This window comes from Homo sapiens, chromosome 12, assembly GCF_000001405.40.
Source record: "Homo sapiens chromosome 12, GRCh38.p14 Primary Assembly".
Lineage (NCBI taxonomy): Eukaryota > Metazoa > Chordata > Mammalia > Primates > Hominidae > Homo > Homo sapiens.
The window spans coordinates 93490893-93517879 of NC_000012.12; the positions used below are offsets into that span (position 1 = coordinate 93490893).

The 26987-nt window shown below is 39.0% G+C and overlaps 1 protein-coding gene and 1 pseudogene across 5 annotated transcripts in view; both read left to right on the forward strand.

Annotated features, from left to right (window-relative positions):
• The window catches only part of MRPL42 (mitochondrial ribosomal protein L42), a 48701-nt gene extending 23379 nt beyond the window's left edge, over positions 1-25322 (forward strand). For all 5 annotated transcript variants that reach the window (NR_038159.2, NR_038161.2, NR_038160.2 and 2 more), the window contains one exon: positions 10284-25322. Coding sequence is in view for 2 of the 5 variants with exons in the window: in NM_172177.5 (NP_751917.1) it covers positions 10284-10329 (46 nt within the window). In the remaining 3 variants the exon portion in view is untranslated. The remainder of the gene's footprint in view (positions 1-10283) is intronic.
• RN7SL737P (RNA, 7SL, cytoplasmic 737, pseudogene) lies at positions 18595-18876 on the forward strand (annotated as a pseudogene).
• Positions 25323-26987: the final 1665 nt, after the last annotated feature.

The window sequence follows — 26987 nt, forward strand, 5'->3', positions numbered from 1 at the left end:
TATTTTTTATTTTTCTGAGACAGAGTCTTGCTGTGTCGCCCAGGCTGGAGTGCAGTGGTGCCATCTCGGCTCACTGCAACCTCCGCCTCCCGGATTCAAGCGATTCTAGTGCCTCAGCCTCCCAAGTAACTGGGACTACAGGTGCACATCACCATGCCTGGCTGTTTTTTGTATTTTTAGTAGAGACGGGGTTTCACCATGTTGGCCAGGCTGGTCTCAAACTCCAGACTTCAAGTGATCCCACTGCCTTGGGCTCCCAAAGTGCTGGGATTACAGGTGTGAGCCACCATGCCTGGCCAAAACACACATTTTTAAAAAGTATTTTTAAACTATGCAGAAGTATTTAAAATATAAAATAGAAGTGTTCTCTATTTCTGTGTTCTCCATAGGGAATTGGGTATAATATGAGGTAGGACTATTCATAGAGGTAGAGGTTAACCTACCTAGATGTTGAACATCTTTTCATGTGCTTATTGGCCATTCATATGTTTGGGTTTTGGTTTTTGTTTGTTTTCAGTTAAGTATCTGTAGAAATATTTTGCCTATTTTTTAAAAAGCAAATTGGTTGTCTTATTAAGGTATAAAACTTAGAGACCAAAGTGCTATATGAGCTATATGCTTTGTAAATTTTTTTATCTAAGCTTGCCTTTCACTATGTATATATGTATGTATGTATTTTAATAGATGCTGTCTTAGATGTGGTTTCCTAGGAGACCCTAAGATAAGGATTTTTTTTTTGTTGTTTTATTTCAATTTTTAGCTTCAGAGGGTACACAAGGGTATATTGTGTGATGCTGAGGTTTGGAGTATGATTGAACCCATCACCCAGGCAGTGAGGTAGTGCCCAATAGGTAGTTCTTCAGCTTTCTCTCACCTCTTTCCCTCCTGTCTGTTGTCCCCAGTGTTTTTTGTTTCCATCTTTGTGTCCGTGTGTACCCAGTGTTTGGCTCCCACTTACACGTGAGAACGTGTGGTATTTGGTTTTCTGTTTCTGTGTTAATTCGCTTAGGATAATGGCTTCCAGCTGCATCTGTGCTGCTGCAAAGGACATGATTTTGTTCTTTTTTTATGTCTGTATAGTATTCCATGGTGTATGTGTACCACATTTTCTTTATCCAGTTCACCATTGACAGGCACCTGGATTGATTCCATGTCTTTGCTGTTGTGAGTAGTGCTACAGTGAACATACAATTACATGTGTCTTTTTGGTGGAACAGTTTCTATTCCTTTGGGTATTTACCTAGTAATGGGATTGGTGGGTCGAATGGGAGTTCTGTTTTTAGTTCTTTGAGAAATCTCCAAATTGCTTTCCACAGTGGCTGAACTAATTTACATTCCCACCAATAGTATGTAAGCATTTGCTTTTCTTTGCAGCCTTGCCAACATTTATTATTTTTATCTATTTTTAATAATAGCCATTCTAACTAGTATCAGCTGGTATCACACTGTGATTTTTTTAAATTTGCATTTCTCTGATGATTAGTGATGTTGAGCATTTTTTCATATGTTTGTTGGCTGCTTGTATGTCTTCTTTTGAGAAGTGTCTGTTCATGTTCCCTAGCCCACTTTTTAATGGAATTACTTATTTTTGCTTGTTGATTTAAGTTCCTTACAGATTCTGGTTCTAGAAGGGGTTTGGGAAGTCATTAACCTCTTGAAATTATTTGTAAAAATTTTGAATAGGTGTTTTTCTGGGCAGTGGATTCAAAACTTTTATCAGACTCTCAATGAAGTATGAGACCTTCAGAATGCTAAGAACTGTCCATTAAAAGTGTCATTCAGCATACACTGTTCAATTATATTTACTACTCAAGACTGAAAATGTTTGAGACTCTGATAGCCCTAAACTGAACAAAGTCAAGTTCTAAAATATGCTCAATAAATGTCAAATAGCATTTACACATATCTTATCATGCATGAATTTTAATGTGCACTACAATCACTAGCCAAAAGCAAGCACCTTAATTTTACGATGACCTTATTCTATCATCCAGATTGGGAACCTTGCAGACACTATTAATTAATACAAGAGTTAAATTGAGATTGCTCCTGGCAAACCAAGTTATATTGTTACACTTCTTAGATTACACAATGACTCAGTGACATCTGGAACACTGGTCTACAGCTCTTAACCCAGAAAACTTTACCTCCTGGTTCATACTAAGCTAGGTAATCAAATCTGTTTCCTACTGATGGAAGTAGCTAATTTTTGTTGTCTCCATGGGAAAATATTAAAGTAGTTTCTTAAATAAAGTGGTACTATTATTCATGCATTTGTAAGATTGCCCTATATTTCAGAAATTTAGAATTATTTTCTCCTGCCTGCCTGCCTGCCTGCCTCCCTCCCCCGACCCCCTCTCTTTTTCTCTCCTCCTTTCTTTCTTAGAGTCACGGTCTTGCTCTAACACCCAGGATGGAGTGTAATGACACAATCATAGCTCACTGCACCCTCAAGCTCCTGGGCTCAAGTGATCCTCCCATCTCAGTCTTCTGAGTAGGTAGGACTACAGGCATGCACCACCATGCCCAGCTAATTTTTAAAAATCGTGGGGGCTGGGCACAGTGGCTCATCCCTGTAATTCCAGCACTCTGGTAGGCCAAGGTGGGCAGATCAGTTGAGCCCAGGAGTTCGAGACCAGCCTGGGCAACATGGTGAAACCACATCTCTACAAAAAATTTAAAAAGTAGCCAGGCATGGTGGTATGCATCTGTAGTCCCAGCTACTCAGGAGGCTGAGGCAGGAGAATCTCTTGAACCTGGGAGGCGAAGGTTGTAGTGAGCCGAGATCAGGTCACTGCATTCCAGTTTGGGTGACAGGGCAAGACCCTGTCTCAAAAAAAAAAAAAAAAAAAAAAAAAGTTATTATGAGAATCAGAATCATTTATCCATTTTAAAATGTGTGAGCACCTACTATGTGTAGATCCTAATGATTCTGTAGTACACAAAACAAGATAAAAATCCCGACTTTCATGGATCTTACATTCCAATACAGGAGATAGGAAAATAAGATGAATAAGCTGGTCAGGGAAGCCTTCATTGAGTAAAAACCTGAAGGAAGTAAGAGAGCTAGCTTTACTGATACTGTGAGAAAGAGTGTTCTATGCAGACAAACAGCAAGTATAAAAGCCCTGAGATGGAAGGAAGGACATGTTCAAAAGCAAAAAAGAGGCCATGTAGCCAGAATACATGAACAAGGAAAAGACAGTAGGGCATGAGAGCAGAGAGGTAATGCAGGACCAAATCATGTAGGTAGTTGTAGGCCTAGAGTGTTTCTGAGTGAGATAGGAAGCTGTTTGAGGATTTTCAACAGAAAAATTACAAGAACCAAGGGAAGTGTTAACAGTAGGTTACTCTGGCTGCTACGCTACAAACAGACTGCAGCAAAGCAAAGGAAGCAGCTGGGAGACCAGTTAGGAAGTTATTTCAACAAAACAGGCAAGAATGATGATTTGGACTAGGATAGCGGCAGAGGGAATGGTGACAAATGGTCAAATCTAGATACATTTTGGAGATAGAGCTAACAAGATTCGCTAATAGACCAGATGTTGGGTATGAGACAGAGAGAGGAGTCAAGAGTGGTACCAAGGTTTTTGGCCCAAGCACCTAGAAGAATAGAACTGGCATTAACTGAGAGAGCAGGCTGCAGGAGAAGCTGGTTTGTGGAGGACCATCAGAAGCACAGTTAGACACATACCAAGTTAAGGATACCTACTACACATGTCAAGTAGGCAGTTGGATATGTAAGTCTAGAGGTCAAGGGACAGGTCTTGACCACAGATGGATTTGGAAGTCATCATCACACAGATGGTATTTAATGCCATGGGACTGGACGAGATTCCTGTCCTAGAGAATGGAACAGAAAAGTGGAGCAGTCCAAGGACTGATTCTTGGGGCACTCCAAAATCTAGAGACAAGGGAGATGAAAGGGAAGCACCAAGATAAATCAAGATAGTATATTAACTTTAGATATGTAAAAAGAATTTCAACCGTTACTAAGGTCGAATTAATGAGAAAAGTAACAGACACACCATCAGGAACTCTAGAGATATAGTGATACAGGGGTCCCCAGAGAAACTCCGACCAGCTTGTGCACTGGGAAAATGGGGTGGAGCTTCGTGAAGTTCACGCTGTTTGCAGGGAAAAGGAGCCTGGCCTCTGTGATCTGGTGTGGTAACCTGGGGATTCAATCTGTGAGATGTGGGCCTGTTAACAGGAACCTCTCTTGCTTTGCTGAGTTTTTTCCTTTTCACCCAATAAACCCTGTCCTTCCTCACCCTTCAAATTGTCTGTGAGCCTAATTTTTTGTGGTTGTGTGTCTTTAGCTGACCTAAGAAAAAAGTCCTACAATAATAATATTGCTCAAATGATGTGTTCTAGGAAGATTATATTAGAAGGAATACTTTATGACTTGATTTTTTTTCATGTCAACTAAGGAAGACTAAAGACTCAGCCTCCTAAGTAGCTGGGACTACAGAAGCATACTACCATACCTGGCTGATTTTTTTGTTGTTGTTTGTATTTTTTGGAGAGATAGGGTTTGCCATGTTGCCCATGCTGGTCTCCAACTGCTGGGCTCAAGCAATCTGTCCACCTTGGCCTCCCAAAGTGCTGGGATTACAAGCTTGTAATCCTGGCCCACACATTTAATAGTAAACACTTCAGATTTTCAGACATGAGATAATCTAATCAACGATACTTATTAGCCACTGGCCTATTCAGCATTGATTCTTTAGAGTCATACAACTTACACTCCCAGTTCACCCACCTTGGGTGAGGCCAATAATTAGACTCAGGTAGCTTCAAGACTGAATGAAGTGGGGCAACACTTCTGGATCATTAAGGATCTGCTGACCTTGATTAAGAATCTGATAATGAGGAACATCTTAACCCACCTGTGACCCACCTAGATAAAATGGATAAACCCATGTAACCTGGTAGCTGAACTCTGGAAATAAAACTTCCAAGAATCACTGGGAAATTTACCAGTGCATCCTCAAAACTTCCATAAAGTATGGTTTCAAAGAGGAACTGAACACCTTAAAGAAGCTGTGAAGACAATTAGGTGAGATAGTATTCCATCAGACAATCATTTAATACCCATACATTGTATTAAGGATACTGTGTTAGAATTATTGTGGAAAATTACACAACAGATGTTTGGGTTTTTTGTTTTTGTTTTTGTTTGACACGGAGTCTTGCTTTGTCACCTAGGCTGGAGCGCAGTTGCACAATCTCAGCTAACTGCAGCCACCACCTCCTGAGTTCAAGCAATTCTCCTGCCTCAGCCTCCCGAGTACCTGGGATTACAGGCAGTTACCACAACACCCGGCTAATTTTTGTATTTTTAGTAAAGGCAGGGTTTCGCCATGTTGGCCAGGCTGGTCTTGAACTCCTGACCTCAAGCGATCCACCCACCTCGGGCTCCCAAAGTGCTAAGATTACAAGCATGAGCCACCACGCCCAGACAACATCCTTAACAAAGAGAAAATACTCCAGAGAAGATTTAACCAAAAAAAGTCACCTAAAAATGTAAATATAACATTAATAGATACCTAATAAACTATAATTATATGCAGTTGTGCTAAGAGGGACAGTAGATATTCAAAGTGAATATAAAAAAGTAAAATGTCATGAAGAAAGTAAGATAAGAGCAAATAGCAGAGGAAGAGTAAAAGTGCTGAAAACTGAGGGATAAAGCATTTGAAATAGCTTGATGTTGAAATGAGATGGGGCACTGAGGTCAGATTAGGTAAAAAAAAAAAAAAAAAAAAAAGGCAAGCTCCAACTATATGCTGCCTATAAGAAATCCACTTTAAAAATAAAGACAGCCAGGTTAAAAGTAATACAGAAATGACAAAGGTGACATCACAACCAATCCCAGAGAAATACAACAGATTCTCAGAGACTATTTTTTTTGGGGGGGTTTGGGGGCGGGTGGGGACGGAGTTCTGCTCTTGTCCCCCAGCCTGGAGTGCAATGGCACAATCTAGGCTCACTGTAACCTCCGTCTCCCAGGTACAAGTGATTCCTCAGAGACTATTATTAGGAACACTTCAAGCACACAACTAGAAAATCTAGAGGCAATGGACAAATTCCTGAAAACATACAACCTCGCATGTTTGAATCAGGAAGAAACTGAAACCCTGAACAGATGAATAATGAATTCTGAAACTGAATCAGTAATAAAAAAACAACAACCAAAAAGCTCTGGACCAGACAGATCCACAGCTGAATTCTACCAGATGTGCAAAGAGCCAGTACCAATCCTACTGATACTATTCCCCCAACAACAACAACAAAAAATCGAGGAGGAAGGACTCCTCCCCAACTCATTCTACAAAAACGGCATCATCCTGATACCCAAATCTGACAGAGACATAACAGAAAAACAAAACTATGGGCCAGTATCCCTGATAAACATGGATGCTAAAATCCTCAACAAAATACGAGCAAACCAAATCTAGCAGCACATCAAAAAATTAATTCACCATGATCAAGCAGGCTTTCTGCCTGAGATGCAAGGCTGATTCAAGATACGCAAATAAATAAATGTGATACATCATATAAACAGAATTAAAAACAAAAAACATATGATCATTTCAGTAAACACAGAAAAAAACTTTCAATAAAATCCAACATCCTTTCATGATGAAAATCCTCAACAAACTAGGCATTGAGGGAACATACTCCAAAATAATAAGAGCCATTTATGACAAACCCACAGCCAACATACTGAACAAGCAAAAGCTGAGATCATTTCCTTTAAGAACAGAAACAAGACAAGGATGCCCACTCACACTACTCCTATTCAACATAGTACTGGGGAAGTCCTAGCCAGAGCAATCAGGCAAGAAAAAAAAAAAAGGCGTCCACTCAGGAAAAGAAAAAGTCAAATAATCTCTCTTCACTGGTTCTTGTAATTTTTCTGTTGAAAATCCTCAAACAGCTTCCTATCTCACTCAGAAACACTCTAGGCCTACAACTACCTACATGATTTGGTCCTGCATTACCTCTCTGCTCTCATGCCCTACTGTCTTTTCCTTGTTCATGTATTCTGGCTACATGGCCTCTTTTTTGCTTTTGAACATGTCCTTCCTTCCATCTCAGGGCTTTTATACTTGCTGTTTGTCTGCATAGAACACTCTTTCTCACAGTATCAGTAAAGCTAGCTCTCTTACTTCCTTCAGGTTTTTACTCAATGAAGGCTTCCCTGACCAGCTTATTCATCTTATTTTCCTATCTCCTGTATTGGAATGTAAGATCCATGAAAGTCGGGATTTTTATCTTGTTTTGTGTACTACAGAATCATTAGGATCTACACATAGTAGGTGCTCACACATTTTAAAATGGATAAATGATTCTGATTCTCATAATAACTTTTTTTTTTTTTTTTTTTTTTTTTGAGACAGGGTCTTGCCCTGTCACCCAAACTGGAATGCAGTGACCTGATCTCGGCTCACTACAACCTTCGCCTCCCAGGTTCAAGAGATTCTCCTGCCTCAGCCTCCTGAGTAGCTGGGACTACAGATGCATACCACCATGCCTGGCTACTTTTTAAATTTTTTGTAGAGATGTGGTTTCACCATGTTGCCCAGGCTGGTCTCGAACTCCTGGGCTCAACTGATCTGCCCACCTTGGCCTACCAGAGTGCTGGAATTACAGGGATGAGCCACTGTGCCCAGCCCCCACGATTTTTAAAAATTAGCTGGGCATGGTGGTGCATGCCTGTAGTCCTACCTACTCAGAAGACTGAGATGGGAGGATCACTTGAGCCCAGGAGCTTGAGGGTGCAGTGAGCTATGATTGTGTCATTACACTCCATCCTGGGTGTTAGAGCAAGACCGTGACTCTAAGAAAGAAAGGAGGAGAGAAAAAGAGAGGGGGTCGGGGGAGGGAGGCAGGCAGGCAGGCAGGCAGGAGAAAATAATTCTAAATTTCTGAAATATAGGGCAATCTTACAAATGCATGAATAATAGTACCACTTTATTTAAGAAACTACTTTAATATTTTCCCATGGAGACAACAAAAATTAGCTACTTCCATCAGTAGGAAACAGATTTGATTACCTAGCTTAGTATGAACCAGGAGGTAAAGTTTTCTGGGTTAAGAGCTGTAGACCAGTGTTCCAGATGTCACTGAGTCATTGTGTAATCTAAGAAGTGTAACAATATAACTTGGTTTGCCAGGAGCAATCTCAATTTAACTCTTGTATTAATTAATAGTGTCTGCAAGGTTCCCAATCTGGATGATAGAATAAGGTCATCGTAAAATTAAGGTGCTTGCTTTTGGCTAGTGATTGTAGTGCACATTAAAATTCATGCATGATAAGATATGTGTAAATGCTATTTGACATTTATTGAGCATATTTTAGAACTTGACTTTGTTCAATTTAGGGCTATCAGAGTCTCAAACATTTTCAGTCTTGAGTAGTAAATATAATTGAACAGTGTATGCTGAATGACACTTTTAATGGATAGTTCTTAGCATTCTGAAGGTCTCATACTTCATTGAGAGTCTGATAAAAGTTTTGAATCCACTGCCCAGAGAAACACCTATTCAAAATTTTTACAAATAATTTCAAGAGGTTAATGACTTCCCAAACTCCTTCTAGAACCACTATTCTGATGACCGTTCTCCCTGCTTTGAGAGAATGCCTTTCAGAGACACTATTGTACTAGTACAACCTTGATTATCTGGTATGTCAATGGAACCTTTTAGAAAAAAACAGAATTTTCTGTATGCCAACATAAGTACATGTAGAAATGTTTATGCAGATGGTATTTTACTGTGTGTATTTTTTGACAGCTTACTGTTCCATGTTAGTATAGACAGCTGTACTTCGTTCATTTCAACTTAATTCCTGTATTTTGCAAATTTTCAAAAATAAAATCAGTGTATCAGGAAGTTGCCCATATGAAACCTGAAGCAAAAAAATGCTTTAGATATCTTAATCACAACAACTAAAGATCACAGGGTACATGTCTTACCATTTATAGTATAAAACTGAATTTCCACATTAGCAAAAGATTGAAAACAAAAATTAACTTGTGACCAACTTGCCAAAATCTGACCTGAAGGAAATTTTTGAACGTAACTCATCACAAAAACACATGTACTCTGTGCAGAAATGTTTCTTAAATCAGTAAAGAAAATAAGGAAATGCAGAGGAGCAAAAAGAATTCTCCATGGTGAAATCACTCAAAAACTATCACTGCTGACAATGCATTTCATTTCTCTATATCTATACATAAGTTTTGTTAGTTTGCCTATTTTTACATGGTTATCATCATACTGTATATGTAAATTTTCTCCTGTGTTCTTCCTTAATATTTTAACTACTTTTTCTATATTCCTTTGGGACAGAGTGCTAGAAGAGGAATTACTAGGTCAAAAATTATGAATATTTCTTGATACATCTTATCATACTGCTTTTCAAAAGTATTTTGAAGTAAAAGTTTATACTTTTAACCAGTCGGGTCTCATACTGCTAATTTCACCACACCTGTGCTTGGATTGGGCATTATGATTTTTAACATGTTTGTGATCTCAAAAACAAAAGGTTCCTCACTGTTCTGATTTGCAGTCCCTCCATTTTGCATGACATTACACATTTTTCCACAGACATATTACTAGTTTTATTTTATATTAAAACATGATTTTGCATTTATAGAGACCTCCATTTAGAGGACAATAGCCCCTTGTAAATAAAACTTTTAACAGAACACGTTCATGTTCACGATGTGGTGTTTCTTTATGTTTTGGAAGCCTAAATCTCACCAGATGTGATATTTCTTCACTACTAAGACAAAAAACCATTAGTTTTTATCAGAATCAGTCATCTGGGTTACCATGTTGAAATTATCCTCAAGATATGAAAGAAAACTATTTCAAATGCTTAATTTAATTAATAGTCAACAACTTAGCCACGTGTGGTGGTGTGCCTGTAGTCCCAGCTACTAGGCAGGGTAAGGTAGGAGGAGCCCTTGTGCCAGGAGTTTGAGGCTGTAGTACACTATTATTGAGCTTATGAATAACCTCTGCACTTCAGCCTGGGCAATAAAGCAAGACCCAGTCTCTAGAAAAAAAAAATGATTAGGTAAAGAAAAGAAAACAAATTTTCACAATGGGAGAATGTGGCTTATTACTAAGAAATGGCTGATACGTAGTTTCATTGATTTTTTAAAAAAATAGTTCCAATAGCAAAATAATCATAGAAGTTAGATTTTTATCAGGAATAATTTTTATTAAAATCATCTTATTCCAAGTATTTTCTTCTTTTCAAGGTATCACAGATGTCGTAAGAATCTGAATCCTCCAAAAGACAGATGATGCGGAGGTTCCTGGGGGAATCAAAGAGAAATGTGCCTCATTTGCCATTTGAGAAAATGCAGTCTGGTGTATTCAGTAATATATAGTAAAGTAATAATGATAAAATATCTTTTCATATATTAGAATGTGTACTTTTATATAAAGTAATTCTGGATTTGACATTCTCATTTAGAGAAACCTATTTTCTTTTTTCTTTTTCTATTTTAGTGTTTCATTTATGTGCGGTCTCCAATTTAGGACTTTTCCATAGTGCCAAAGCCATACATATTCAGTAGAACATCAATAAATTACATCAGAAATTCAACACTTTATTATAAAACGGGCTTCGTGTTAGATAATTTTGCTAAACAGTAGGCTACTGTAAGTGTTCTGAGCATATTTAAGACAGGCTAGCATTTTCAATTTACAATATTTTCAACTGATAGTAGGTTTATTGGGATGTAACCCTATGATAAGTTGAGAAACATCTCTTTTTGTGTGTCTACTGTGATTTAAGTATTTTTAATCATCAGCCAAGCATTGTTAGTAGTATAAATATGATTAATAAAAATGTGCATGGCTTTCCTGAAGGAGATTTTTTAATTGCCTTTGAGAATAAACTCATAAGGTCTACCAAGAAAATAAATGTTATGATGTTTCAGTTGGCTTCTAGGAAATAATTAAATTAGTGATATTTTAATCAGGTTTTACTATCTGCTAGGCCCCTTCCATCAATTCTTATTAAATTCTCAAAATAATCCTTTGAAAAGGGAGTATAATTACATTTTACAGTGACTCGAACCTTACCCAAACAAGTGGGAGAGCCAGGAGCCAAACTATCAGGCTCCAAAGCTTTTTTTTAGTGCATCACAATGACAAAGGGGTGGTTTTCTTTCACCCAAGAATGTGCTTTCCTGGAAATTTTTCTAGATAGAATATTATGTAATTTGTTTTGAAGGTTTTTTTTCCTGACTGTCTTAAAGATTATGCTAGCTTTAGAACACATGCAAACAGCTGCAGCTCTGTGATTAAAATGTTAAGGTCACTAGAATAGTGTTAGGAAAATGTTAATAGATAATTCTGCTGCCTCTATTAGCTTATGTATGATCCTTAATAGCATTGCTTCCCCTTCAGTTTCTATTTAGGAGGTGAAGAATCTTTTAATAAGGTAGAAAGTTGCTTTATTTAAATTTGTACTGTAGAATGTTTGTGATACAGTATTTGTAAAATTGATATGAAAAATAATTTCTCAAAGTCTATTGTTTGATCTAGTTATTTTAATAAAGGAACTCTAGAAGTTTCAAGTGGCCAGTGAAGTGTGAGGAATAGAGAGTAAAGGAAATAATTAATAATGGTGACCCTCTGTTAAGTGGTTTACTTTTTCCATTAATATAAATTTCATTTGGAAAGATTAAAAAAACAAGTTTGATTGAACTTGATAAATCAGAAATATTTACCAGCTTTGTCGATGGTGTATTCTTGAAAAATGTTTGGTTTTCTTTCAGGTTGACTTATATCCAAAATTCTACAAATTCTTAGCTATGTTATAAATGTAGAAAGAAGTGAAAAATCAAAATATGATTATGAAGATTTTCTTCTCTTCCGAGTACAAAGCTCTGCTAAATAAGGATTTACCCAAGATGCCCACATCCACATACTTATGTGTCAGTGCTTTGGAGAATTAACTTTGACTTTATTCTACTGGAAGTATAGATTAACACTGTGCTTTCTGGGATTTTGCTTTTCATGGGTTGCTGATTTTTAATTTTGCTAAATAAGCACATAGTCCGTGATCACCAGCATCACCTGCCCTCTGTTCCTCCCCCGTCCCCCAGGGATAAGAACCTGTTATCCACCATCAGTAACATTTTATGAAAGATCTACTTATTTGTCTGTTTTGCAGACATTTTAAAATTCGTAAAGTGGGATGCTTCTTTAATTTAAATACATTTAGCTTCATGAAAAACTCACTACACAGTTCTTGTTCAAGCATTATTGGGAAACCACCAGAGGGCACTCTCACCCAGGGCTTAATTTGAACATCTCGCCCAAAAGTGACTTTTAAAAGCACTTAATTAGCAGAGAATTTGGATGTTCATTAGTTGAGAATGACTAGTAGAATAAATGGTAATAGTGAAATTAAGTGCTGGAATATTCTGAGTAGACCAATAGCAAAAACTGATTTTTTTTTTTTTTTAAAGAAAAGGTCTTGCTGTGTCGCCCAGGATGGAGTGCAGTGGCACAATCACATTGCACTGCAACCTCAATATCCTGGGCTCAAGCAATCCTCCCACCGCAGCCTCCCGAATTGCTGAGACTACACATGTGTGCTACCATGCCTGGCTAATTGTTTTAATTTTTTTTATAGAGACGGGGTTTCGCCATGTTGCCCAGGCTGGTCTTGAACTCCTGGGCTCAAAGCGATCCACCCACCTTGGCCTCCAAAAGTATGGGATTACAGGTGTGAGCCACTGTGCCCAGCCTTATTTTTTTTTTTTAAGATAATATTGTTAACATTTTGTATTTCTCTGCATAAATATATTTCAAAAATAAAAATAGAGCTCATAATATATGCTGTTTTGTAATGCTTTTTTCACTTAATAGGAATTTTTTCCGTATCATTAAGTACTCTGATTTAATGGGTGCATATTATTCTATAATCTGGCTTGTCATAATTTAATTAACTCCCTGCTGTTAGACAAAATCATTGTTTCTGTTCCATCTTGTGAATAATGCTGTTATTAACATCCTGGTGGATTATTACCATTTTCTTTTTTTATTTTTTTTTTAAATTTATTTCTTCTTTTTTTTTTCTTATAATCTCATCAGAAGCTGGCAAGATCATTACTGTTTTCTTAGATTTGTTTCTGTAAGTGCAATCGTTGAATCACCATGTCCGGCATCCATGTTTATGTACATTTTTAAAGTCAGTGGTTTAAACTGTATACTTTTTGGGTTTTGGAGATGGAGGTTTGCTCTGCCCAAGCTGGAATGCAATGGCGCGATCTTGGCTCACTGCAGCCTCCACCTCCCGGGTTCAAGTGATTCTCCTGCCTCAGCCTCCTTAAGTAGTTGGGATTACAAGTGTGCACCACCATACTCAGGTAATTTTGCATTTTTAGTAGAGACAGGGTTTCACCATGTTGGTCAGGCTGGTCTCGAACTCCTGACCTCAAGTGTCCACACACCTTGGCCTCCCAAAGTGCTGGGTGGGATTATAGGTGTGAGCCTCCATGCCTGGCCTAAACTGCATACTCCTAACATCAGTATATAGAAATATTTTCTCTTTAGTTCTATTAAAATTTTAAAAAATCTTTATCAATTTAGTAGGCAAAGACTGGAAAATGTTTTAATTTGATCAGCCACTTTAATGTATGTCTCATTTCAAAGCATATAAAGTATACAAGTTTCAGGTCCTAGCTTAAACCTATAAGAGGCCTTATTATGGGCTTATTTCCTTTGCAGCCCTTTACCATAATGTGTTTCTTCTACCTCCCCTGCACAACATTGTTTATATGCCCCCTAAAATGTAACTTCTTTAGATTCTGTTGTTACGTGCAACACTGTATATCTCTCCATAGCACTTAATCAGAGTTTGTAATTAGGCATCTTTTTGTGTGATTATTTGGTAAATGTCCATATCCCCTACTAGCCTATAAGCTCCATGACTTCTAGGTACCCTGTCTGACTACGTGTATCACTGTTTCTACCGCCTAACATTGCCTAGCACATTCATTGCTTCACAGGCATCTGAATATGGTTTTATAAAATACATTGCTCTAGTGCACAGGATTTTAAGCTAAGGATTTCATGAATGGGATTTGGGGTAGGGGCATCTATGAAATTCCTGAAATTGTGTAGAATTTTGAGAATATGTGTTTTCCTGGGGATAGAGTATGTAGTTTCTCAGCAACTCATTACAGTCTGTCACATCATGCCCTAATTCTACTTGCCTGTAGCTAAACACCTAATAACATTAGAACTGAAATGATAGTGATATGCAAGATAGCACGTGTGGTTTCCACATATTCTAAGAGGCATCTTCAATTAGATTCCAAAAATTTTTAAGAAAAAAAGATATAATGTGCCATCATTTTGGATGGTTCTGGGCACTTCAGGTAAACCCTTACTCAAAGAATACTTTTTCAGTTTCAATGTGTATTTTTAAAATTTCCAGAAGATGAGTTGAATATCAGCCCACAAACACTGGTAGTAAGCAAACTATTTTATTTGCTAAAGGCATAAATAAATGTCTCCTTTGCTTTTAGGCAAAGGGAATGCTTCTTCAGATTTTTTTTTTTCCCCAGAAGTTCAAAATAACTTGCTCATAGTCTTCCCAAAATAATTTTCAAACATTCTAACACCAAAGAAAGATACTCCCAATTGAGCTCAGCCATCAGCCTCCTACTATTTTTTAATGTGCTGTTTAACCTTGTGAATGTGAGAATATTTTGAATGCACTGGGAAGGAATACTCAGGAACAATATGTAATGTGCTTTCTAGTTTTGCACAAAGGCATTCATTTTGATTTAGTAACAACCTCATACTTACATAGCATATCCTTCTGCAGAAATGCTTCACAGCCATGACTGCTTGAATTCTTGTCATGTTGCTTGTAAATGAGCTCCTGTTTTTAGATGGAGAAATGGAGGCAGAGTCTCACAATTACATGTGAGAATAGCAAGTAGAACCTTATGATTACTTCTGAGTCTTTTTTTTTTTTTTTTTTTTGAGATGGAGTTTCACTTTTGTCACCCAGGCTGGAGTGCAGTACAGTGGCCAGTGGCATGATCTCAGCCCACTGCAACCTCCGCCTCATAGGCTCAAGCAATTCTCCTGCCTCAGCCTCCCGAGTAGCTGGGATTATGAGCGTGCACCAGCATGCCTGGCTGATTTTTTGTATTTTCAGTAGAGATGGGGTTTCACCACGTTGGCCAGGCTGGTCTTGAACTCCTGACCTCAGGTGATCTGCCCACCTTGGCCCCCCAAAATACTGGGATTACAAGGGTGAGCCACTGTGCCCAGCCTCTTCTGAGTCTTCAATTCAGCAAGAATGTCTCTTTTTTTTTTTTTTTTTTTTTTGGGACAGAGTCTTGCTCTTGTTGCCTTGGCTGGAGTGTAGTGGCACATTCTCAGCTCACTGCAACCTCCACCTCCCGGGTTCAAGCGATTCTCCTGCCTCAGCTTCCCAAGTAGCTGGGACTATAGGCATGCAACACCATGTCCGGCTAATTTTTTGTATTTAGTAGAGATGGGGTTTCTCCATGTTGGTCAGGCTGGTCTCAAACTCCTGACCTCAGGTGATCCACCTGCTTTCGCCTCCTGAAGTGCTGGGATTACAGGCATGAGCCACCACGCCCGGCCAAGAATGTCTTTTCTTTATAATGTTGTCTCTAAGCATGTAATCTTTTCGGCAAATTTTATTAAGCACCTATAGAGTTCAAGCCACTGTGGGTTCAAAGATAGCCCTCATTCCTGATTGACAAAGTATCTTGCTATGACCATCCCTTCTTTCCCCTCTAGTCAAAATTAGTCTCTTCTTCACTCATAATGCAAAGTACATTGGATTACTATTATGCCACTTACTTGAATAATTGTCTTGATGAGTAATATATGTAGTCAGTAACATGGTTAAGTGTGGCAATTTGGATTGATCCCATTGGACTTTTCAATTGCTGCATCCAGGTGTAATTACCATAAGAGCATAGAAGATAGAATCGTAAAGCTGAAAGACATCTTAAAGATGATTTTTGGGGACTGATTTGGAAACAGATCCAAAGACACTAATTGACTTGCCCAAGATCACAGATTGTGGCAGAACCAACCAATGTCTTTTTTAAACATTAAGGACATCTTATATGTATATTTATGCATATACATACTGATGAAATGTGCCTTTAGCAATAGATGTGTCCAGTGATGTACTAATGAAGATTTAACAACTGGTTCTAACTTGTAATGTTTGCCAGTTTCCATGACTGGGTCTTACAAGTTGTTGTGCACTGACTCCATCATTCCACTGGATGTGCCCCTGAAATCATATATTTACTACTAAAACCATTAGATTGTTTCCTTGTTCCAGTTATGCATTCAGAGACACTCCACCTTATTTTCTGATTACATTTGCAGGGAGAAATAACTCCTTACTTGTCAGTTTCAGCCTTCACTTTTAGTTTCTTTTTCTTTTCCTTTTTCCAACCCAGTATACCTTAGAAACTTTCAGTTTCTTTTAAGGATTTAATAACTTGCTTATAAGTGTTTAAAATGACTTAATGGGTTCTATCTTTTAAGGGAACTTTGGATGAATCCTTGAATATCAGTTATCTATTGCCAATTAACAAATCACCCCAAAGCTCATTGGCTTAAAACAACAATCTTTCATTAGTTTGCGTTCTTCCAGGTAATTCTTATAGTCTGGATCCAGCTCAGCTTATCTTGGCTGGACTTGCCCATGCAGCTGAGGTCACTAGTTGGGTTGTTGAGGCTGGCTAGTCCTAGATGGTGTCACTCATATGTCTGGTATTGAGTGACTGTCACCTGGGGCATTAGGGGGACTGTGTCTCTCATCATCCAGCAAGCTAGGCCTGGATTCTTCACATGGCTTTAGGATTTCAAGAGTATGAGATTGGGGCTGGGCATGATGACTCACACCTGTAATCCCAGCACTTTGGGAGGCCAAGGTTGGGGGATTTCTTGAGCCCAGGAGTTCAAGACCAGCCTGGGCAACATAGTGAGAGCCCATCTGTAAAAAAAAAAATTTTTTGAGATGGAGTTTCGCCCTTGTTGCCCAGGCTGGAGTGCAATGGCGCAATCTCAGCCCACCAGAACCTTTGCCTCTTGGGTTCAAGCGATTCTCCTGCCTCAGTCTCCTGAGTAGCTGAGATTACAGGCATGAGCCACCACGCCCAGCTAATTTTGTATTTTTAGTAGAGATGGGTTTCTCCGTGTTGGTCAGGCTGGTCTTGAATTCCCCACCTCAGGTGATCTGCCTGCCTCAGCCTCCCAAAGTGCTGGGATTACAGGTGTGAGCCACCACGCCTGGTCTTCTACAAAAAAATTTTAAAAAATTAGCTGGGGGTGGGGAGGGTGGGGTGGTGCTGCATGCCTGTAGTCCCAGCTATTTGGGAGGCTGAGATGGGAGGATTGCTTGAGCCCATGAGATTGAGGCTGTAGTGAGCCATGATTGTGCCACTGCACTCTAGGCTGGGCAACAGAACAAGCACCTGTATCAAAACAAACAAAAAAGTGCAAGATTGGAAGCTTCGAGGCTTCTTGAGGCCTAGTCTCAGAACTGGCACAATATCACTTCATAAGGCTATCTCAGATTCAAGGGAGTAAGAGGAGAGATGCTACCTATTAAAAGGAGAAGCAGCAAATACTATGGCCATTCTCTTCACAATAGTTGTCACCAAAACGTAATCGATTTGTTTATGGGTTTACATTGTCATGTCTCCACAGGACAATGCACATGGTATGTTTGTCAGAACCCAGTTGGAGTTTTGTTTCCCAGCATCCAAAGGAAATCCCTAACTTTCATTTTTTCTTCCCGTAAGCAGCCCCGAACACTTACTTATAAGCCATCTCTACCTGAATTAGCAATCATGGATAAGCTCAATAACTGATCATTTCCTTATCAGTTTAAACCATATATATTTTAACACTGTCTCTTTTTCACACACACTAGTTAGCTAAGAATGAGCTGGGGGGCTGGGCGTGGTAGTTCACACCTGTAATCCCAGCACTTTAGGAGGCGGAGGTGGGCGGATCACTTGAGGTCAGGAGTTTGAGACCAGCCTAGCTAACATGGTGAAACCCCGTCTCTACTAAAAATGCAAAAATTAGCTGGGTGTGGTGGCAGGCATCTGTAATCCTAGCTACTCAGGAGGCTGAGGCAGGAGAATCCCTTGAACCCAGGAGGCAGAGGTTGCAGTGGGCCAAGATCACACCACTGCACTCCAGTCTGGGTGATAAAACGAGATTCCGTCTCAAAAAAAAAAAAAAAACTGCCAAAACGCTTTTTGCAAAGTGGTTGTACCATTTTATATTCTCACCACCATGAATGAAAGTTCCAATTGCTATATTCTTGCCCTCATTTGATAATATTTTTAGTTTTAGCCATTCTAATGGATATATAGTAATAATTTGATGGTTTTAATTTGCATTTCTCTGATGATCAATAACATTAAGTTTTGATTCAGGTACTTGTTGGGCACTCATATCTTTGGTGAAATATCTGTTCAAATCATTTGCTCTTTTTTTTTTCTTAGCACTTAAAAAAGACTTTTTGCCAGGCACAGTGGCACATGCCTGTAGACCTAGCTACTCAGGAGGCTAAGACAGGAGGATCACTTGAGTCCAGAAGTTCTGGGTTGTAGTGAGCTATGTCAATCAGGTGTTTGCACTAAGTTCAGCATAAATGTAGTGACCTCCTGGGTCACTGGGACCCAGAGTTGCCTAAGGAGCGTCAGAAGTGGAGCAGGTCAAAACTCCTGTGCTGATCAGTAGTGGGATCACACCTGTGAATAGCCACTGCACTGCAGCCTGGGCAACATAGTGAGATCCTCATCTCCTGAAAAAAAAAAAAAACTTTAGTTTTTAAAAGTAGTTTTAGGTTCTGAGCAAAATTGAGAGGAGGGTACAGAAATAACTTATATATCCTCAGTGCTCCCCTCCCCCATGCCTCCCTCATCACCATCCCCCAGCAGAGTGGCACATTGGTTACAATTGATAAACCTACACTGACACATCATTATCACCCAAAGCCTATTGTTTCCATTAGGGTTCACTCTTGGTGCTGTACAATCTATGGGTTTGAACAAAGGTACAATGACATGTATCCATCTTTATAGTCATGCAGAGTCTACACTGTCCTAAAAACCCTTGGCTCTGCCTCTTCGTCGTGTCCTCCCCACTGACCCCCGGCTACCACTGGTCTTTTCACTGTCTCCGTAAGTTTTTCCTTTTTCAGAACGCCATATAGTTGGAATCATAAAGTATATATAGCCTTTTCACATTGGTTTCTTTCACTGGATAATATGCATTTGTTTCCTCTATGTCTTTTCACAGTTTGATAGCTCATTTCTTTTTAGCATCGAGTAATACTCCATTGTCTGGGTGTACAACAGTTTATCCATTCACCTGCTGAAGGACATCTTGGTTGATTGCTTCCAAGTTTTGGCAATTATGAATAAAATTGCTATAGATATCCATGTGTAGGTTTTTGTGTCCATTTAAGCTTTCAACTCCTTTGGGTAAATACCAAAGAGCACAATTGTTGGATTGAATGCTAAGAGAATGTTTCGTTTTGTAAAAAACCACCAAACTGTCCTACAGAGAGGCTGTACCATTTTGCATTCCCACCAGCAGTGAATAAGGGTTCCTATTGCTCAACATCCCTGTCAGCACTTGGTGTTAGTGTTCTGAATTTTGGCCATTCTAAAAGGTGTGTAGTGGTGTCTCACTTGTTTTGTGTTTTTCTCTGCTCAGACAGCTCATCCACATCACATTTATTTTAATTTGCATTTCCCTGATAATATGTGATATGGAACATCTATTTACTCATTATTTTTTCTTCTTATGATTGAAGTTATAATATTTCTTTAAATATTTTGGATAAATCTTTTGTCAGATATATGCACTGGAAATATTTTTATGGGGGACCAGTGTTAAGATTAGATCTGTTTAAAGAGAAAGGAGAGAAAGTTTCAGGCAGGGAATGCAATCGATGTGAAGGTTTGGGGTAATTTGTTTCATTTATCTTTAACACCATGTTATGGATGGCAAAATAACTTCACTGGCTTTTTTTATCAAGAAAAGACTTACCTTTTCTGAATGCAACAGTATTAGTAAACCTAATGGTGACAATAAAAGCGATTCTGAATAAATGAAAACCAATAGATTGTTCTAGTTTTACTCATAAATATAATTCTTCATATACTGAGTTCAGTTTTTTAGCCATAAATGAAGACATGGGAAAACCATAACATGTTATTTGCTGAGAAGTTCTGGCAAATGAAGCAATAAAATAATCAAAACTAAATCAACATTTAAATACAGAACATAAAGAGATAAATCCAAAACCAGAAGATCTCTTTGAAAGAAAAACCTAAGTAATTAAAAAACTGAAAGCACAGATATTCATTATTTCACAAATAAACGTTAATGCTTTTTAGACATCTTTAAGCAACTTTAGATTGCTAAAACTAAAAAATGCAATTAAGACAATAATCTTATATATAGACAATAATTGTCTTAATAATAATCAGCATCAAAGATTCTTAGAAATGTTGGGAGACTGTGTGGCAAAGAAAGTACTTCAATTACCAGTTACCAACACACAACAATTTGAAATATCCAGGAAGATCAACCCATAGAACAAAGAAAGCTAATAAATTACCTTTTCTTGCAATTGGTTTGATGTACCATTAATATATAGATATTACTAATATGGCAATTAGTTTATATGCTATTTGAATATGATAGTAATATGAAGGAAGATTCTCTTTTTTCCACTTCATTGCCAACAAACAGCTAACTCTAAACAACAGTAAAGTGTGGAATAAATTACTTTGTTAATTAATGTGGTTTGAAGCTTTGTAGGAATCCAATTGGATGGATAGCAGCAGTGGTAAGAGAACATTCCGGAATAATTACCTAAATTAAGGAGCTTGCCCTAGAATGTAAATCAACCTACTATATCTTTTTATTTGAAAAAGTCTTGGTAGAAAAAGCATATCAACTGAACTGTACAGTGTGTTCAGTGACTTAGTAAAGAACATAACTTGTGTAAAGGCTAATGCAATAAGTTTGAGATTGTTCTCTTTATGTAATAGTTTGGAAAACAAACAACTGTGATTACATTTAGAGATATGATGATTATCTAGAGGGAAAGTTCTGTTGAGCATATTTGAACATTTAATTATTGCTGCAAGAAGCCAGTTTGGTCCCAGCTTTATAAAGATATACATTGGGCTGGGTGCGGTGGCTCATGCCTGTAATCCCAGCACTTTGGGAGGCCGAGGCAGGCGGATCACCTGAGGTCAGAGGTTCGAGACCAGCCTGGCCAACATGGTGAAACCCCATCTCTACTAAAAATACAAAAATTAGCTGGGCGTGGTGGCACACACCTGTATTCCTTGCTACTCGGGAGGCTAAGGCAGGAGAATCGCTTGAACCCAGGAAGCAGAGGTTGCAGTGAGCCAAGATTGTGCCACTGCACACCAGCCTGGATAAAAAGAGTGAAACTCTGCCTCAAAATAAAATAATAAAATGAAATAAAGATATAAATTGGCCAGCTAGAGTTACCTGAAGTTACTATCTTCAATTATCTGAAGACAGTTCTGATAGCTTCAGAATTCTTTCATACAAGGCAGGAATGCAACTTGTTTTTTAATGGCAGATAAAATCAAAGAGCAAAAGCAAAAGGTAGAAGCTTGAAAGACCAGAGTTGCTACAGATTGTTATTACATGTTCCATAATTTAACAATTGTCATTGAAGTTGGTGATTGTCTTGATATTGCACATCTGTAAGAAGTAATCAAACTATTGTGAATTTGATAGAATGCTTTAAGTTTTATTTTCCAACAAAAGAATGTCTACATACGGCAAATTCATAGATCTGGAATCCATTTATGTCATCAAAAGAGGATTTAAATTTAATTGTAAGCTTATATGATACATTGTTCTAACTGGCAACTAATGAAGGATTAAAAATGAATTTTGAAAATACCACACCACTTGCTTCATTTTGGATAAAAGTTAAAAGTGAATATTCTGAGTATGCTGAAATTAGTTTAAAAACTTTTTTTTCCCATTCCGACCATTATCCCTTTGTAAATCTGGTTTCATCTTATGAATAATATTTTTTAAAAACCATGGAAACAGTTTAGATATACATCAATCCATGAAAGTAGTAGTATTGTCAATCTACCCTGGATTACATATTTTAACGAGAAAGAAACCAGCTCATTTGTGACATTTAGAATTTTTTTTTTTTTTTTTTTTTTTTGAGAGAGAGGGTCTCATTCATTTTATTGCCCAGGCTGGAGTGCAGTGGTGCAATCGTAGCTCACTGTAACCTTGAACTTCTGGGCTCAAGCAATCCTCTCACCTCAGCCTGCAGCTGGAGCTTCAGGTGTCTGCCATCACGCCTGGCAAATTTATTTTTTGTAGAGACCAAGTCTCCTTGTGTTACCCAGGTTGGTATCAAACTCCTGGTCTCAAGTGATCCTCCCATCTCGGCCCCCACAAGTGTTGAGATGACAGGTGTGAGCCACCTTGCTTGACCTAAAAACTTTTGAATATTAATATGCATTGTGTTTATTCAAAGTATATCTAATGGTCTAATAAACAGAATCACTACTTCAATTATAATCTTCAGTTATAATTGAAGAATGACAAAAAGTTGAGTTATAGAAATTATATTAATCTTAAATTCACATTTTCAGTGAAAGTTTTTAAATAATTTTTTCTCTTTCCGTTTTATGTGTGTTCCAATTCTATTTATTGAAATTTAATTTTATATCCATTAACATAATTAAAAATTGGGGCTTTTAAAAAATGTTTTTCATTCTACTAATTTCATTTTATAATTTATAAAAGTACTAGACCACAATGGATTAAAGAACTATCCTTTCATCACAGATAGTTCAATGACTCCTGTTTTTTTTTAGACCGAGTCTTGCTCTGTCACCCCAGCTGGAGTGCAGTGGTGTGATCTTGGCTCACTGCAACCTCCGTCTCCCAGGTTCAAGCAAGTCTCCTGCCTCAGCCTTCCGAGTAGCTGGGACTACAGGTGCCCACCACCACACCCGGCTAATTTTTGTATTTTTAGTAGAGACGGGGTTTCACCATGTTGGTCAGGCTGGTCTTGAACTCCTGACCTCATGATCTGCCTGCCTCGGCCTCCCAAAGTGCTAGGATTACAGGCGTGAGCCACCATGCCCAGCCAACTCCTGTTTTATAGTGTACTTTCTGGAATATTATTCAGCTTTCTCTTGAATTCTTTTAGTAACTAGGAGTTCACTACGTTTCCATGGACCTAACTCCAATAATGATTGGACAGTTTTCTCCCTCTGCTTTTTCTTTCTTTCTTTCTTTTTTTTTTTTTTTTTTTTGAGATGGCGTCTCCTCTGTCAATCTCGGTTCATTGCAACCTCCACCTCCCAAGCTCAAGCGATTCTTGTGCCTCAGCCTCCTGAGTAGCTGGGATTACAGGCACCCACCACCACACCTGGCTAATTTTTTTTTTTGGTAGAGACAGGGTTTCACCATGTTGACCAGGCTGGTCTTGAACTCCCGACCTCAGGTGATCTGGCTGCCTTGGCCTCCCAAAGTGCTGACATTACAGGCATGAGCCACTGCACCTGGCCATTATTGGACAGTTTTAATGGAAAGTGTTTCCTTATATTGAGTGGAAATCAGTCTGCTTATGGTTTATAATCCTCAGACTTGATTCTCCCCCTGAATCTATATGAAATAAATTTACTCCTATTTGAAAATATTTGTCATATTCCTTCTTATTTTTCTTTAAGCTTTATTTTTTCTTATTATCCATATGACATGTTTCCAGAACTCTCCCTTATCCTGATTGTCCTCCTTTAGACACATGCTTTTAATGATATATTTCTTAAAATGTATTACCCAGGACAACATATTTTTTTTTACTGTGGACAGTATACTTTTACGAATGGTGCCAATAATGCATTACATTTTTTAGCAGTCATGTCATCCTCTTGATTTGCATTGAGTCATCATTTCTTAAGAGGGAATCAGGATATCAAAATAGTCTCCAAACTCAGCTGATTCCTTCTGCAGATACACTCTCCACCCTTCTTGATTCCTTTTCGGGAGAAAAGAAAAAAGTTTATTTTCATTGCTAACCTCACTGATTTTTAATTTTACCATTTAAATGTTAGTAACAGCTGGTAATGTAACCAAAGAAGATTTTTGGCAGGGGATGATGCATTCAGAGCCTTCACTCTGGCTACAGGGAGACCATGGAGGATGGGCTGGAACGGAAGCACGATGGACTCCTGGGCACACCGTTAAGTGACTGATGGAGTCATTCAGCTGACAAATGATAATGGCCTGGATTAAGGAAGGAGAAGAGGGGACCAAGAAATGCCAGAGATACATAGGAAGTAAAAATTAATAGGCCTTGGCAACTATTTTTTTTTTTTTTTTTTGAGACAGAGACTTGCTGTGTTGCCCAGGCTGGAGTGCAGTGGGGTGATCTCGGCTCACTGCAACCTCTGCCTCCTGGATTCAAGCAATTTTCGTGCCTCAACCTCCTGAGTAGCTGGGACTACAGGTGTGCATCACCATTCCCAGGTAATTTTTGTATTTTTAGTATAGATGGAGTTTCGCCATTCTGGCCAGGCTGGTCTCGAGCTCCTGACCTCAAGTGATTCGCCCGCGTCGGCCTCCCAAAGGGCTGGGATTACAGACATCAGCCACTGCACCTGGGTTGGCAACTAATTTACACGGAATGGCAGAGAGTGATTAATGAAAAAGCGGGGAGAAAAGCTGCTCTTGACATCTGAAAGCTGACTTGGCATTCACAGCTAGGCTATGTTATTTTCCTATTGGGCATAAGTCTCACAGAATACCAACATTAAACAAGATGACTCTGAAACCTTAATAAAGTGAGAAAAAACAAGTCCACTTTGTAATTTTGTCTAAGCACAGGCAAAAAGAGGGTCATGGTGCCATCCAGAAAATACCAAAAATCACCCTCTCTCAGCTAAAATGAGCAACTGCTACTTTACCAGTGACAGCTTTGTCCCAGCTCTAGTCTGCCTTCCCTATAGAGAAGATGTATTGAGATAATCATGAAATTCTCCTTCTTTCTGATAGTATCCAATCTGGAGCAAACCCGTTTCCTTAGACCCTCTCCCAATCCCAAATTCTATACTAGGTTCTTCTAAACACTCTCATACTGAGACACCCCATGGTTCCCTATGTTGTGTGTTCTTCTTTGCTGCAATGAGTAATAAACTCAACTTGTTTAACTAGAGGTGTGTTCCTGGTGGTCTCTGGTTAAAGAGCATTGATGTTAAGAATAATTTCAGAGTTTCTTGCTTGGACAGTCAGGTGTGAGTAGTGCCAGTAATAGAAATAAAGAATACTGGAGAAGAAGAAAATGTCTTCAGTTTTTAACAGGTTACCTTTGAGATATTAGTAGGTTACTCCAAGTGGAGATATCCAAGAAGTAATTGGATGGATTTATGACTCTGGAGCTCAAGAGAGATGTCTGTGCTGAATCTATCTATCAGTCATCCATGTACCTACCTACCTACCTGTAGCTACACATAATATACTCAGAAATGTACATATTTGAGAGCTTTTTTTTTTTTAAGGCAGGATCTCACTCTTGCTCAGGCTGGAGTGCAGTGGCTCAATCTGGCCTCACTGCAGCCTTGACCTCCTGGGCCCAAGAAATCCTCCTACCTCAGCCTCCCAAGTAGCTGGGACTACAGGTACATACCACCACACCTCGCTAATTTTTGTGTTTTTAGTAGAGACGGGGTTTCACCATGTTGCCCAGGCTGGTTTCGAACCCCTGGGCTCAAGCGATCTGCCTGCCTCGACCTCCCAAAGTGTTGGGATTACAGGTGTGAGCCGCTGTGCCTGGCCCATTGTGTGTATAATAGCTGAAGCTGTAGGATTGGCAAAGAGCCCCCAGAGAAGGAAAACAATGAGAAAAGAAAAGGGCTGAGGACACGGCAGCAAGGAATATCCCATATACTTATGGGATGAGCAGAAAATGAGATACAGAAAATGAGAAAAGACTCTTAGAAGGAGCTGTCATGAGGAAAGATAATCAGAAGCAGAAGACCAGATGTTAGAGGAGAGAGTTTCAAGGAGGATGAGATTAGTAGTTTAATAGGCTGCTAAAAAGTCAAGTAAGATAAAGTGCCCTTCAAGCTATTTGATATATATCCCCATCATTTTTCGAGCACCTCTGTTTTTTGGCACAATAAGATGTTCAGGCTCCTCTTATACTTTCCTGTCCTAGCCCTGGAATCAGCCATTTCTCTAAGGAGTCCTGTATCCTTTTAGTGGAAACTGGTATCTAGAAACCAAGATCTGGTGTAGTATTCCTTTCAAGAAGCTTGTCTGTGAAGGGTTATGGCTGTATGATCACACGTGGGACTGGAAGTACAGAGGGGATACCTGGCTCAGGTAAAGATGAACAAAACATTGCTGGGCATGGTGGCTCATGCCTGTACTCCCAGCACTTTGGGAGGCCAAGGTGGGAGGATTGCTTCAGCCCAGGTGTTTGAGACCAGCCTGGGCAAGAGAGAGAGACCTTGTCTCTACAAAAAATAAAGTAGCCAGGCATGGTGGCAGGCATCTGTAGTCCCAGCTACTCAGGAGGCCAAGGTGGGAGGATCCCTTCAGCCTGGGAGGTTGAGGTTGCTGTGACCCGTGAGTGTGCCACTACACTCAGCCAGGGCAACAGAGTGAAACCCTGTCTCAAAAAAAAAAAACAAAAAACCGCAAAGCAGAGATAGTATGATCAGAACTGAAGCTTAAGGCCAGGCCTAGTGGCTCACGCCTATAATCTCAACACTTTGGGAGGCCGAATTGGATCACCTGAGGTCATGAGTTCAAGACCAGCCTGGCCGACATGGTGAAACCCCTTCTCTACTAAAAATATAAAACTTAGCCTGGCA